This window comes from Homo sapiens, chromosome 3 (assembly GCF_000001405.40).
Source record: "Homo sapiens chromosome 3, GRCh38.p14 Primary Assembly".
Classification (NCBI taxonomy): domain Eukaryota; kingdom Metazoa; phylum Chordata; class Mammalia; order Primates; family Hominidae; genus Homo; species Homo sapiens.
In genome coordinates, this window is record NC_000003.12 from 14,344,119 (window position 1) to 14,359,392 (window position 15,274).

At 52.1% G+C, this 15,274-nt stretch overlaps 1 long non-coding RNA gene across 1 annotated transcript, besides 3 other annotated features; it reads right to left on the bottom strand.

Annotated features, from left to right (window-relative positions):
* Positions 1-4,332: 4,332 nt before the first annotated feature.
* On the bottom strand, positions 4,333-8,450 carry LINC01267 (long intergenic non-protein coding RNA 1267). The gene is made up of 3 exons (NR_110135.1): positions 6,603-8,450; positions 5,235-5,347; positions 4,333-4,655 (listed from the first exon to the last, which is right to left on the bottom strand). It is a non-coding gene; the product is annotated as a long intergenic non-protein coding RNA 1267 (long non-coding RNA).
* Positions 8,447-9,004: an enhancer, noted in NCBI's record as "H3K27ac-H3K4me1 hESC enhancer chr3:14394065-14394622 (GRCh37/hg19 assembly coordinates)". NCBI's record gives its function as "activates a minimal SCP1, AML or CMV promoter by ChIP-STARR-seq in primed H9 embryonic stem cells {active_cell/tissue: H9 hESC(primed)}" and the evidence as "EXISTENCE:reporter gene assay evidence [ECO:0000049][PMID:30033119]".
* Positions 9,565-10,122: an enhancer, noted in NCBI's record as "H3K27ac-H3K4me1 hESC enhancer chr3:14395183-14395740 (GRCh37/hg19 assembly coordinates)". NCBI's record gives its function as "activates a minimal SCP1, AML or CMV promoter by ChIP-STARR-seq in primed H9 embryonic stem cells {active_cell/tissue: H9 hESC(primed)}" and the evidence as "EXISTENCE:reporter gene assay evidence [ECO:0000049][PMID:30033119]".
* Positions 10,123-10,680: an enhancer, noted in NCBI's record as "H3K27ac-H3K4me1 hESC enhancer chr3:14395741-14396298 (GRCh37/hg19 assembly coordinates)". NCBI's record gives its function as "activates a minimal SCP1, AML or CMV promoter by ChIP-STARR-seq in primed H9 embryonic stem cells {active_cell/tissue: H9 hESC(primed)}" and the evidence as "EXISTENCE:reporter gene assay evidence [ECO:0000049][PMID:30033119]".

A 15,274-nucleotide genomic window follows, 5' to 3' on the forward strand; every position in this document is an offset into this window, starting at 1 on the left:
AGCTGAACGGTTTAGCAGCTGCCCTGGGCATGGGGTCACTTGCAGCCTAATTCCTTTCTCCGGCACAGGTTAGAATGAGGTGTTTAAACATCACGTGGTGCTGAGCCCTGTCCCGTGGGATTACTGTGCACTCCTGTACTTCTTGGGCCCTGAGGAGGGGTGGGACCCACCTAGCCCACCTCTGAATCCCGTTGCTGCTGTGGAGTTTTTCTCACCTGATTCAGATGAGTCCCGAGTTGGAAAGCCCCCTCCTAGAACGAGAAGGGGCGTGAGAACACTGGAGAGTGTGCCGACAATTGGGAAAGGAAGAGCGCAGAGATGGGCTGACACCAAGCAAAGAGAGCAGTGGTGATTCTGAGCATCTGAGAGCCAGGGGCCTGGCGGTTGGAAGGGCTGAGACATCCTAGAAAGGCAGAGACACTGCTGAAAGGGAGGAGGGGACATGGGAATGTGAGTAAGGCAGCTGAGGACTGCAGGGGATAGTGTCGTGCTGAGCTTAGCCAACCTGTCTCAGCTGGAAAAAACTCACTGGATTGGGAAGAGACCCTGAGAAAGGGGGAGACACTGGGCTGAGCTGGGGACCTTGTGCTGGGCTATCCTGATCAGCCATGGAGCACAGCTGCTCACACTGCCCTCTCTGTCCAGGCTATGCCCAAGAGGAATGGAGGGGGTTAAGTTGCCAAGGAGTGGAGGTGGGGGAGCAGAAGAGCAAGTTAGCCAGTAAGTAAACTGTATAAAAGAGAGCTCTTAAAAGGCGTTAATTTAATGAGCACATGCCAGGCATGGTGATGGGGCCTTAGAAGACAGGGATGAAGCCGATGTCCCTTCTACTCTCAAGGACTTCCCAGTCCTGGGGGGAGAAACATCAGTAAGTTACTTTCAAGGCAAAAGAAGTTATCCTATTCCAAGAAAAGCACCTATTTTTGGTGGGGAGCCCAGAGGAAGAGGAAGGTGCAGCTAGAAGACAACCAGTTTGGGTTCTGGGCTCTGCCATGAGCGAGGGAGACCTCCCTGGGCCTCAGTTTCCTCTCTTGCATTGGACTAGGGCAGGACTTTTCAGCCTTGAGTGAACCTCAGAATCCCAGGGCAGGGCTGAGGGTTCACACAGAAGTAGGAGCATACCCCCACCAGAGCATCTGGTCTGAGGAGGGGCCAAGTTCCAGGGGAGGCTGCTGCTGCTCCGGGGAGCACACAGGGAGAACCAAGAGACTTGCAGCAGGACTGTCTTCAGGAAACCCTCCGAGGAGCTCTGAAAGAGCAGCGGGTGCAGCGGAGCGCATGGAAGGCACCACTGCAATGTTGACACGCTGCCTCCGGCCTCCTCCATTCCACGTACACTGAAGGCACCGCCACGATGCTGACACGCTGCCTCCGGCCTCCTCCATTCCACGAACTCAGACTCAGCTGGCTCTGGGTTGGGTGCTGGAGTATCCACAGGGTGAAGACCTGGTAGACTGTGTGCCCTGTCTCAACCTCTGTGAGCTGGTTTGTAAAACGGGCTGGGAATGCAGTCAACATTTCTGTTGTTGGGACTTTTCCTGATGCCCTTTAGTAGCCGAGCTGGCTCCAAGCCAAGAACCTGACTGTATTCAGCCTCCAACACCCCTAAACCAAAGGCATGTACAGCCCTTCTGGGGAGGAGCAGACCAAGGTCAGTCTGGGCCCCAGGATCCCACGGCCTCTGGCTTTGGGACAGGCAGGAGAACATTTCCAATTACAGAACCCCAGACAGAGCAGCGGCTATCTGGGGCTAGCTTCTCTCTCTGTCCACCCCTTGCAAAGTCCCTCAAGCAGGGGCTGAGTCACAGGGTGTTGTTTAGTGTTTTGTTACTGAATTCTTCTCTAAGAAAGAACCCAGTGTGTCAGAACGCCCAGGGGGCTGGTGGGGCAAGAGGATCAGCCCCCATCTCCTGTCTCCAGGGCGGGTTACAGAGGGTAGAGGGGCCCACAGCCAGTCCCAGGGGCTTAGTTTTCTTCTCCCAACAGCTCCTTCCTCCAGGAGCAGCTAGCAAGAAGTCACATGGGTGCCTTATGCCCAAATCTTGTGCTTGGCATTTGGGGCCTCTGGTATCACGTTCCTCCTCTTTCTCTCGTTCCTGCTCCCCAAGCCCAGCGGGGTTCCCCAAGCCAGGGCAGCCATATTTGCAGCTCACACACTTCCATTCCCACATCCCAGGCTTTGCAGGGGCTGGGCCTCCCCTCGGGCCCTCCCTTCCCTCGAGTGCAACCAGCAGTACCAATTTGCCCAGTCCTGAGATGTTTCCCAGGAGGCAAGACTTGCAGTGTGCAGAATGAGAACATCCCAGACAAACGGGGCGAGTCGGTCACCTGACTTCACTCTTCCCAGTCCACACAGAGGCCCCATGCACTCACAGGCAGATGGGACTCAGACACAGAGGTGATAGAAATCCAGGGTCCAGCCACTCTGAGTAGACCCGCTGGCTGCCTTACTTTGTGGAGTCTGAGGCCAGTTTTATAGAGAAAGGGGCCAGCCACTCTGAGTGGACCCACTGTGACCCACTGGCTGCCTTACTTTGTGGAGTCTGAGGCCAGTTTTATAGAGAAAGGGGCCAATCTTAGGGAAGCCAGAGGGACAGGGACTGAGCCAGAAGAGGCAGCTGGGGGTTCCAGCAGGGCGTGGATGTGCAACCTCCACCCCGAGCTGCTGTGTGGCCACTGAGAAACCACTCCCCTCTCTGAGCCCTTTTCCCCAACTGTGAAATCTGGCTTAGATACCATCCTTCTAAGGGCATCGGCAAATGGCAGATGGTTTTCTTATCAGGTTTAACCAGCAGGTGGAGGGTCCCGAACACTGCAGCCCAGTTTCCTGTGCTCCCCACACACTCAGGACAGAGACTCTGGGCCTGACAGTGAGCAGGTGCCCCCTCAGGCACTGAGACCACCCAGGGAATGAAGGTACAGCCAGCTGGGCTGACCCCATGCCTCCGGGGGCAGTCAGGAAAGCCATCTCTGAGGAGGTGACCTCTGGGCCGAGACCCCAAGAAGGGAAGGAGCCAACGTCTGGGAGAAGAGGGTTCAGGCAGAGGGAAGAGCCAGTGTAAAGGCCCTGAGGTGGGAGCCAGCTGAGAGTGCCCTAGGCTAATGGGGCAAAGGCAGGAGATGGGATCAGGGGGCCCCACATGGGCCAGGTCACACGGATATGGGTCTAGAGAGGTCACATGCCCCACCGGGGGTCACATGGCCAACTCAGGAATAAAAGGCTCAGGAGGGGGAGATTCAGAGCCACCATCAGAGCCCTGCGGCAGCCTGGGTGCAGCAGAGGATGCTGTTGCTCTGGTGTCCGTGGGCCAGAGGATACCAAGGTCCAAAGTATGGTCCCCAGGCCTCAGATGCCCCACTGAAATGACTGCGTTCCAAGCATTTCTGGGTAGCATCATTTGTCAGCAAGATGTGAGAGTGAAAGCCACTGGCTCTGGGGCTGAGCAAGCTCTGCCATCCCCAGGAGAAGGAGTGTGGCCCTGCACCCACTACCCACTCATGCGCTCATTCACCCATTCATTCATTCATTCAAAAAGCTTTCATGGAGAGCCAGGCTCCAGCTCGTGAAGGAAAGAACTCTCTTGGAGGACTCCCTTCATTAACTCAGAGGTTTTGCCTTTAATGTCTTCACGTTCCTTGTCAAGCCCCCCACTTTCCTTTCCCAATGCAGCCAGGTCTAATCTGGTTGAAGTAACATACGTTAACAAGGGTATTAATGTCCACTAAAGTGTTAGCTGAAAAAGAAGACATTAGCTGATAACCAAAGCATTGAGAAGTATGATGTTTAGCTGAAGACAAAGATGGTAATTGCTAATTAAAGCATTAGCTAAAAAACAAGGAGTTAACCGATCACCAAGCGTTGAGCCCGTCGATCTGGGCTGAAAGTGAGGGCTGGCTGATGATTGAAGTTTGGTTGAAAAACTAAGCAGTTAACACATGGCTAACTGGTGATAGTTTTTAATATATTAATCCAAAAGTAAGATTTCTACAACTCAATAATCAAATGACTACCTAAAATTGAAAACAGGAATTAGTCTGGGCATGGTGGCTCATGCCTGCAATCCTAGTACTTCAGGAGGCCAAGGCAGGTGGATCATTTGACCCCGGGAGTTCAAGACCAACCTGGGCAACATGACAAAACCCCCTCTCTACAAAAAATAACAAAAATTAGCTAGGTGTGTCGGTGCATGCTGGTAGTCCCACCTATTTGGGAGGGTGAGGTGGGAGGATCACTCCTGGGAGGTGGCGGCTGCAGTGAGCCAAGATCATGCCTCTGCACTCCAACCTGGGTACCACAGCAAGACCCTGTCTCAAAAAAAAGAAAAGAAAACAGGAATTCAAACAGATATATTTGCACTCATGTTCATCACAGTACTATTCATAATAACCAAAAGGTGGAACCAACCCAAGTGTTCATTAACAGATGAATGGATAAAGACAATTGATCTCTGCACACAATAGAATATTATTTAGCCTTAAAAAGGAAGGAAATTCTGACACATCATACAACATGGATAAACCTTCAGGCTATTATGTTCAGTGAAATAAGCCAGTCACAAAAGGACAAATACTGTATGGTTCAACTGGTATGAAGTTCCTTGATCCTGGTAGTCACATTCATAGAGACAGTCGGTAGAATGGCGGGGTGCCTGGGGCTGGGAGTTGAGGGGAGAGGAGAATGAGGAGTTAGTGTTTAATGGGGACAGGGGTTCAGTTTGGGAAGACAAAAAAGAGTTCTGGAGAAGGATGGTGGTGACAACTGCACAACACATGAATGCACTTAATGTCACTGAATTGATTAAATTAAGATGGTAAATTGTATGTTATGTATCTTTTACCACAATTTTCTAAATGACAACCCAATTAAAAATGGTTAAAAGAAATGTGACGACGAATAAACACATGGGAAGATGCTCAACTTCACCAGCCACCAGGGAAGTGCAAGTTAAACCACGAGATGCCAGTGCACACCCTTTAGAATTAAAGTGAAAAGGACTGAACTATCAATGTCGGAGCAATCAGGACCTCAAACACGGCTGATGGGGGTGTGGGAATCACCCTGCAAGGCAGTTATGAAGCTAAACACCCACCTCCCATGCAATCTAGCAATTTTACACCTAGGTGGGGAAACCAACTAGAAATGAAAAGCAGGGCCATAAAAGACCTGTGCCCAGATGTGAGTGGAAGCTTTACCCATCATGAGCCTGACCTGGAACTGTCAGTGTGTCCCTTACCTGGTGAGTGAAGAAGCAGACAGTGGCATATCCATTTACAGGAACACCACTCAGCAATGAAACGGGAAGCAGCACAGATGCACACAGCAACGGTCACAGTCCTCAAGGTCATTCTGTGGAGGGAAAACACCAGCCATGAAACGAACACACGGCATGATCCCACTTACCTGACACTCCAGAGAAGACAAACTAAGCCTGCACGACAGGGGGCCACCAGGCATTTTCACCTGGTGTGGGGGTGCGAGGTGGTGACTGTCTGCAGGGGCATGAGGGCACTACCTTGGGGCGATGATCTGCTCTGCATCTTGGCTGTCGCGTATGCATTTGTAAAAACTCCTCAGATTGTAAACTTAAAGAGGGGTGCTAGGGGCTGAACTGTGCCTCCCGCCCCCTACCCCAATTCCTATGCTAAAGCCCTAACCCCAGCACTTCAGAATAAGACTGTATTTTGCAGACAGGGTCTTTAAAGGGTCGACTAAGTTGAAACAAAGTCATTAGGGTGGGCCCTAATCGACTGGCATCTTTATAAGAGAAAATGACACAGACAGGCACAGAGGGAAGATGGATGTGAAGATGCAGGGAGAAGGCTACTGTTTGCAAGCCAAGGAGAGAGGCTCAGAAGAAATCAGCCCTGCCGAAACCTCGATCTGGGACTTCCAGCCTCCAGAACTGAGAAAATAAACTCCTGTTGTGGAAGTCCCCAGCCCAGCCTGTGATATTTTGTAATGGCAGCCCTACCAACCTAACACAGGGTAATCTTCCTACATATAAATTCTCCCTCTGTAAAATACAATTAAATGAATTTTTTTTTTGAGACGGAGTCTCACTCTGTCGCTAGGCTGGAGTGCATTGGCGCGATCTCAGCTCACTGCAACCTCCCTTCCAGGGTTCAAGTGATTCTCCTGCCTCAGCCTCCCGAGTAGCTGGGATTACAGGTGCCCACCACCATGCCTGGCTAATTTTTTATATCTTTAGTAGAGACGGGTTTTCACCATGTTGGCCAGGCTGGTCTCGAACTCCTGGCCTTGTGATCCGTCTGCCTCAAGCTCCCAAAGTGCTGGAATTACAGGCGTGAGCCACTGTGTCCGGCCAAAGGAGTATTGTTTTAAAGCGAGCAAGCGTAGGTTATAAGTGGATTGTACATGACTCTTCAGGGCTTCAATACCCAGCACTCTGCTATGTTCTCAGCAAGCCCTCCATAAAGCCTCAAATGCTAGTGAAAGTCGTGGCCACTACCTAATGCATTAACTGGTCACTGAGGTGCTCCCCACTCTTCCCAGCAGATTCTAGAGGTTTTTAAAAGCTCCTGCAGTTTAAAGCTATTCACACTACTGCCCTACCACCATTCCCTGAATACTGACTACGTACCAGGTGGAGTGCGCCATGGTGGTGGGATGGCAGGCCCATGAGGGGGTTACTTTCATCCTCATCTCACAGGTCGGCTTTCTGAGGCTTGGAGTGGGGCATGACTTGCCCAAAGTCACTCAGGGAGCTGGTGGCCATTTCGATGTCCAGATGAAAGGCTTTATTCCCACAGAGGTGACTCACGTTTCCACAGACTCCCATTCCTCAGGTGATGGCTCAGTCCTCCCAGGGGAGGTTTCTGCACAGCTTGTCTTTGTCCATTTGGACAGGCAGGCATTCCCTAAAGAGCTGTGGGGTTTCTTCTCTCCTGCCGGGAGGCTCTGGGCAGACACTGACCTCAAGGAGGCCGGGGTATTAGAATCTCCAGAGAAAATTTCCACAGGGCTGAAGGCGTTGGGGAGGCGGGCTGCACCATCATGGTGTAGCAGGTGTGGAGGCCTGGGTAGTTACTGGAGGCCCAGGAGGTGTGTCCTCAGTGATGGGAGGTAGTGGGGAGGGTCACATCCCCATGACCCACAGGGCTAGGGCTGTGGCTGTGGAGGTGGCTGCAGTGATGTGTTCAGGGCGGCCACACACCCTGTTTGTGGCCCAGAGCATGTCACTCTGCTTATTCCATTTCATGTCTTCTGGGCAGCCAGCTCTGACCCCGCAGGGTCGAGGACCCATCTGGCCCCCACAGCCCACAGAGCTACTCACACCTCCTGCTCTCTGCTTGAGCCTTCCTCCTCCACCAAACTGTGAGCTCTGTGCGGCAGAGCCGGTATCTGCCTTCTCTTTGAGACCCCGACACCCGGCCCAGGTGGGAGCTGGACAGTGAGGCAGGGCAAACACAGCTGCTACAGCCCAACCTGGCTCCACTCCCAGCTCACCCACCTACCAGCTGCGCAACCCCGGGCAAATCAGCACATCTCCTACAGCGGCAGTTTTCACCTCTGTCAAATGGGGCCACCGAGGACTGTCTTGCCTCCCTAATTGCAGAGGAAATCAGATAGTTCGCACTCCCTGGGCTGGGCCCTGGGATTCCCTTCCCTCTGGATCCTACTGTAGATGGAGTAGGTGGATGAGGAAAAGATAATTATAGGGCCAGGCCTGGGGGAGGATGCTTGCCTGGAGAGAACCAGAGACAGCTTCAGAGAGGAGATTCCTTAAACGGGGCTTTGAAGAGGGCAGGGGTCGTCATACCAAGAATCACCACTGTGATGGTGATGGCTGGCATCTCTGGAGGACCTACTGCGTGCTAGACACTGTTTTAAATGTTTGTGTGTTAACTTGTTTAATCCTCAGAATAACTTAAACTCATGTGATCCCCATTTTACAGAGGAGGAGGCTGAGACACAGAGAAGCTTGTGACTTGCCCGAGTAGGAGATCGCCCAGCAGGGCATAACAAGCGAAGGGGAAAGCTTGGGCGATGGTGCAGAGGCAGGAAACAGCCTGGCGCTCAGGGGAATTGGTCGTAGGTTGGTACAGCCATGAGTGCCCAGGAGCCACACCCCTCTTGTGTAATCCTCTCCTACATTGGCCGCCGGCTTGGTCACATGACCCGCTTTAGCCAATGGGACAGCAGCAAATGCAATGTAAGCAGCGGCTTGGGAAGCGGTTGCACATGTGGCTTGCTCTGGGAAGGCTGCATCCAATGGAGGAGCCCAGGCTAGCCTGCTGGAGATGTACGGCTCAGCCAACGGCAGCTACCCCAGGCCAGGCAAGGCCAACTTAGACCATGCTGCACCAAGGTGTCTTCAGCTGCCTGGGTGAGCCTAAATGAAACCAGCAGAATTGCCCAGCCTAACCTGGACCAGATGACAAAGCTAATTTAGTGTGGTTTGAGTGCATTAATAGATCATTGAGACAAACTTTCAAGTGTCCAGTATCTGAAGAGAACAAGATGACCAATGCTGTGCAGATGTGACAGAGCAGATAACTGTACCTGCAGTGTCCTGTCCTTGGAAGCACTGTGGGAAGACAAGGCTTAAAGGAAAACTTCTGGTGCTCTGGGTTCCTGACATCGGCAGCCCCAAGAGAGGGGTTCTCAGTTCACACTCCCCTCTGCATTCTGAATCCCAAAGAGGATCCTTAACTCCCACCTCACTGCCTGCTTCCAAAGCACCCAGCTAGCTTCAAAGGCCATCACCCTCCATCCAGTACCTGGCATGAAGCCAGCACATAGGAGCTGCTTTATTTTATTTTACGTTACTTTATTTTATTTTTGAGATGGAGTCTCGTTCAGCTGCCCAGGCTGGAGTGCAGTGGCGTGATCTTGGCTCACTGCAATCACCGTCTCCAGGTTCCCTGATTCTCCCATCTCAGCATCCCGAGTAGCTGGGACCACAGGCACCCACCATCATGCCCGGCTAATTTGTGTGTGTGTGTGTGTGTGTGTGTGTGTGTGTGTGTGTGTGTGTGTGTATTTTTAAGTAGAGACGGGGTTTCACCATGTTGGCCAGGCTGGTCTTGAACGCGTGACCTCAGATGATTCGCCCGCCTCGGCCTCCCAAAGTGCTAGGATTACAGAGGAGCTGCTTTATAAACAGTTTTTAAATGATGGGGAATGCATGCAGCCTCGCATATACACCAGGTACTCTGAACCACTGCAGAAACACTAAATACAAAATCAAAGCTGCCTGTCATATAGCTGGACAGGTGTGTCCACTGCTCCCACACCCCCAGAATGGATGGACTGTTCATTTCCTCCTTAGACTCAATTGCTCTTCCCTCCTCCAGTCCCCTGCCCAGGTTAGACAGCATCTGAATCCCCCACTTAGAATGAATGGAGTATCTGCCTCCCCCCTGAGACTGGATGGAATGTCCACCTTCTCCCTTAGACTGGGTAAGGTTAACCCACCTCTCCTTTTGGCCTGGGATCTCCTTAAAGGCAGAGGCCTGCCTAATCCATCCTGTGGCCCCAACACAGGATTTGGCCCTGAGGTCCTGCAGGGTAGAGCCCTGTGTTTCCCAGCAGGGCCCCCGCCTGGGTTAATCCTCCACTTCCTGATCTTCTAGTGGCCTTTCTCATGCCTGGAGTCTGTGTGGGATGGTCAGAAAGATGGATTGACACACAGCCCACTTTCATTTTTACTAGTTTTCCTCTTCCTAGTTCATCCCCTCCTCCCCAGCATATTTTTTGCCTGCATTTCACAGACTATGAAACCAAGTCTCAGGATGCATAATGTGGTCAAGTTCATGACAGGGAGTAGACGGTGAAGCCGGGACTTGAACCCAGGTCTGTCTGGTTGCAGCCCCAGCATTCCTGAGAGCCACACCCACTGCTACAATGCTGGAGGGGCTTGGGCCCCTGTGCTGTTTGCTGGGGTCCCAGGTGAGCATCATGCTTTAGTTTTGAAATTCTGCCCTGGAGAGGGGCCCTCTGGGAAGGGAAGGCTCTGCGGCTAGACAGGGTCTCTGACGGCCACCCGAGAAGGGCTGGAGAAAATGGCTCCCAGCCCACAGGGACTCGCTGGCCTTGCAAAGAGCACTGGACAGGGAGCCATAGACACCCAAAGCCAGTCTTGGCTCCACAGCTGGCCAGCCACTTTGCCTCAATTTCCTTATCCATGGGCACAATAACAGCCACCGAGAGCGTGGTGCCAAGTGCCCTGTAAACATGAATTCCCCTGGCTCACAGGTCCCCCAGCCCACCTTGGTATCTCCTTCTTCCCCTCTCGCATCTGCTCACCCCATTTCTGGATCAAATGCCTGCCACAAATTTCTTGCTCCTTTGTTTTAACCAAGGCAAGTTGATCACAGAACTGAATGCCTGAGGCCGGGCTCAGTGGCTCATGCCTATAATCCCAGCACTTTGAGAGGTCGAGGTGGGCGGATCACTTGAGGTCAGGAGTTTGAGTCCAGCAAAACCCTGTCTCTATTGAAAATACAAAAATTAGCTGGGCATGGTGGTGCACGCCTGTAATCCCGGCTACTTGGGCAGCTGAGGCAGAAGAATTGCTTGAACCTGGGAGACAGAGTTGGCAGTGAGCCGAGATCGTGCCACTGCACTCCAGCCTGGGGGACAGAAACTCCATCCCCCACCTCCAGAAAAAAATGAAAAACTAGACTTGTAGCACAAACAAGCCCCCCAGCCAGGATGCCTCTGAGTGACATGTGAGGTGGGGTCTGAGAGCAGAGACGTGCAGCCAGGTCCCATCTAGCTTCACTTGGACTGCCAGGGCTCCAGGAGTTGGAGGGCAGCCCGGGGCTCAGGGCTACCAAGCTCTGCCTGTGAGTCTCAGCTCCACCTTTTAGTCACTATGTGACCTTTGGAAGGTCACATTGCCACTCCCTACCTCAGTTTCCCCATCTGTGAAATAGATGCCTGCCGGTCTGATTACCCTCTTGTTTGCCCATCAGATGTTCTGCAGAGGTCAGGGCACCAGCACATCGTGAGGCACACAGCGACTGGTATTCTTCCATCATCAGTGGGCACCGTGGGGGAAATTCACTGCCATGGACTGAAAGGACCCCCAGTCTGCACGACCCCTGGACACCCACGAGGGCTATGAGTAAAGTAAAAATTTTGGAGAGAGCCTTTTATTGGCTCCCAAGAGCCTTCCCAGGGCCACACATGAAATAGGCCCTTAATCAGTAAGTGTTTCAGCCCTGGGAATTCATTTTATTTATTTATCTATTGATTGATTGATTGATTGATTGATTTACTTGAGACAGGGTCTCACTCTATTGCCCAGGCTGGAGTGCAGTGGTATGACCATGGCTCACAGTCACCTCAACCTTCTGGGCTCAATTGATCCTCCCACCTGAGCCTCCCCAGTAGCTGGGACCACAAGTACATATCACCATGCCCAGCTAATTTTTTAATTTATTTTTTGTAGAGATGAGGGCTCACTATGTTGCCCAGGCTGGTCTCAAACTTCTGGGCTCCAGCAATCCACCTGCCTCGGCCTCCCAAAGTGCTGGGATTATAGGTGTGAGCCACTGTGCCTGGCCAGCCCTGGCAATTCATATAACCAGTAGTCTTAAACATTTTTCATGGCAATATTTTTTAGCCTCCTTCCTCTTTCTTCAAAAGAATTCTTACAAAGTAATCTATTAGATTAAAAAATATCAAAAGGCTTCTGCCCTTGAAAGAAAGTGGGGCCCCAAATCCTGTCTGGTCCTTCTCCTGACTCCAGCCACCCTGGACACTGCCATGAAACACTGTGTACACCCCTGCTCAAGCCCAGTAGTGATCACACCTGCCTGTAGCTATAGTGCACCTGCTGTATACCTGGCACTGCCTGAGCCTGTTGTCACCATCCCCTCCACTTCTCAATCATAGTCCTAAAATTGAGATCTTATCATCCCATTTTCCAGGTGGGAAGACTAAGGCTAAGAGAGACTAAGTAAGTTAGCTGAGGTCATCCAGCATGTGTGGGGTGGGTCAAGATTCACACTGAAACCTATCAGCGCCTCAAAGACTGTGTTCCTTCTACTGCCCTACTTGAGGCATGGGAAAACTGTGACCTAGAGCAGGGGAGGGTTGGTGACCTTCTGAGGCCATACTCTTACCTGCTGAACCTGGGTCAAGGCCAGTGTGGCCTTGATGACTTCTGGGCTGGTCAGCTCTTGTCCAACCCTGGCTGTGAGTGCTGGGGGGAGAATGCACTGGGCTAGGTTTATAACCGCCCTGGACTCTGTTCTGTCACAGATTGACTTCCGGGGCAGCTCAGCCCACAGCTAAGTTCAGGGGCTCTGGGGACTGAGTGTTGCCATCACCTTTTCCTCTGAAATCCAGCTACAGGGCATCCAGGGGTGGCTGGAACAGACGGACCATCGAGTCTAACCCCACAATTTACAGATGGGGAAACTGAGGCCCAGCCATCCAGACAGCAGTCGTTGGCCTTCCACTGGGCAATCACTGTTGCCAAGTGTAGCATTAATGACTGCATCCTCCCAACAACCCCAGCAGTCCAGGAAGGGACACTTATTAAGCTCCAACTGTATGCCTCATATTGCATTAAGTGTATTCTTAACTGTTATCTCCTTCACACTGCACAACTGCCCATCTAGTAAAAGGAGAAACTGGCCGGGCGTGGTGGCTCACGCCTGTAATCCCAGCACTTTGGGAGGCCGAGGCGGGCGGATCATGAGGTCAGGAGATCGAGAACATCCTGGCTAACACAGTGAAACCCCGTCTCTACTAAAAATACAAATAATTAGCCAGGCGTGGTGGCGGGCACCTGTAGTCCCAGCTACTCGGGAGGCTGAAGCAGGAGAACGGCATGAACCTGGGAGGCGGAGCTTGCAGTGAGCCGAGATCGCGCCACTGCACTCCAGCCTGGGGGACAGAGCGAGACTCCGTCTCAAAAAAAAAAAAAAAAATGGGGAAACTGAGGGTTCAAGAGGAAAGGTGACTTGCTCCGTCTGCCTGACTCTAAGACTCATTTCTTAGTGCCATAGGAATCCACAGTGTAGGTGTGGTGGTGTAAGGGAGGAGAGGGAGGAAGGTAATTTATAACTCTGGAGACGCTGACTGAGAAGTCTTCCACCCCCCACTAAACAGAATGTGGGTTCCATAGCATATAATACATGCTTACTGAATGCACAGTGGAATGGACGAACACTAGGCTCATTGGTGGTGCTCAGTGCTTGGTGCTCAGTGTTTGCTGAATGAATGAATGACTCTCAATAGGGCATATTAAAAAACTTCCAGCTACTGTCCTTAGTAGAGCAGTCTGCTGCTCTTTCCCCCAATACCATATTTCCTCTTCTCCACTTTTCTATTTCTCTGGTGGGCTACTTGTCCAGCTCAGCTTCTCATGTTTGGAAGTAACTGTCTCTGCTTCTCTCTGACTCCTACCCCTCAAGGCTAAGCTGTTCCATGATCCATTCCTTCAAGAGCATCTCTTTCTTGACCAAGGAATGAGCACTAACAGGCTGACTTGGTTCTTCTTCAGGAGACAGGCTTATACTTTGAAAAGGGAGGCCTTGTGAAAATAGAATCTGAGAACTTGGTGTGTGGTCTGGCAGCATCCGGGACCAGGGCTCAGCTTGGGACTGGAGTTAGAGCTTAGTCTATGACCACAGTCAGGGCTGTCTGGAGTCAGGATCAGGGATTCAGTTAGGGCTCAGGACTCAGTCTATAACTTGGGTTAGGATTCAGCCTGGGTTAAGTTAATTAATTTATTTATTTATTATTTATTTATTTTTGAGATGGGGTCTCGCTCTGTCACCAAGGCTGGAGTGCAGTGGTGCGGTCTTGGCTTACTGCAACCTCCGCCTCCTGGGTTCAAGCAAACCAATCCTCCCACCTCAGCCTCCCGAGTAGCTGGGACTACAGGTGCACACCACCATACCTGGCTAATTTTGTGTATGTTTAGTAGAGACGGTGTTTCACCATGTTGGACAGGCTGGTCTCAAACTCCTGACTTCAGGTGATCTGTCCACCTCAGCCTCCCAAAGTACTGGGATTACAGGCGTGAGCCACCATGCCCGGCCAAGCCTTGGTTAATGTTTGAGCTCAGACAGGGGCCAGGTTTGCATTCATCCCATGAGCTAGGATGGTGGATTAGTCTATGGTTAGGGTCAGGGCTCTAGGACCACGATCAGGCCTAAGTCTGTGGCCAGGACTAGGGTGCGGTGTGTGACCAGGATCAAGCCTCAGCCTAATCAGAGCTTCCAGAACTACTAAGCTCCCTCCCAAAAGTTGATTCCCTGGAATCAACTAGATTTTCCTCTATTCCTTAAGACGTAGCTTCTTTCTAGAGAGTGCCCTCCTAGTGCTGCTCACACGGCCCTTGCAGCCCTGCAGGAGAGCTGCCTCAGCGCCTCCGCCGAGACCCTGCCTCCCGCCTCCCTGCCTCCTGGCTCCAGGGTTATTAAAGGAGGAATCTGTGGGAAGAAGAGAGTAAACAAAATCCATCACGCGGGGCTGGGGCTGGCGCCCGTTCCTCCTGCGGCTCCGCAAGCTGACTCGGAAACCAACAGCGCTGAGCGGACAATGTTGACAGGAGACTTAATGAAATCCAGAGGGAGGCGCCCTGGCAGGGCCTACCTGGAAGGAGGCCCGAGCTGATAATTACATTAATTCTGGTCTATGTCCCAACAAGCGCAGAAGCAAGGGCTGGGTCCAGGGCCCGTTCACCCAGGGCTCCAGGAGTCTGTCATAATTACGGGGAAAAATAAGTTTCGGAACTTACATAACCTCACTGCTTGGGCCCTGAGGGTTAGACCCACTTTGCTTTGCTTTTCCAGGAAATGCACATATGGCAAAGCTACACTTGTGTGCCAGGATCACCTCTGTGGGTCACAGAATGTGTGAGAGCACTGGGCAGGAGCTTGGTTCTTGTCCGCATTTCTCAGATGAGCCAAACTGAGGCTCGGGAGCAAAATGGTCTCATTCAGAGTCCTGCAACCAAAAGGCACAGGGCTAGCATCAAGCTCCGTATTCCAGTTTTCCCTCCTCGAAACCACTCCAGCATGGAGACTGTGGGTGACCGGGAGCGGGGAGATGCATTCTGCCCAAGAAAGGAAAGGAAGAGAATGGTGCCCTTCTCAAATGGTGCATTGGAGGGGGCCAGGCTAAGAAGAAGGAAGAGCCGGCCAGGCAGAGAACACAGCAGATAGAAAGGCACAGTGGCTGGGAAGGATACAGCGTGATGGGAGGAAGGGGTCATCCCATAGGGCTGAGTGCTAGTTCAAGGGCAGAACTGGGGTAAGGAAGTTGAGGCAGGGGCATGAGGAGCAT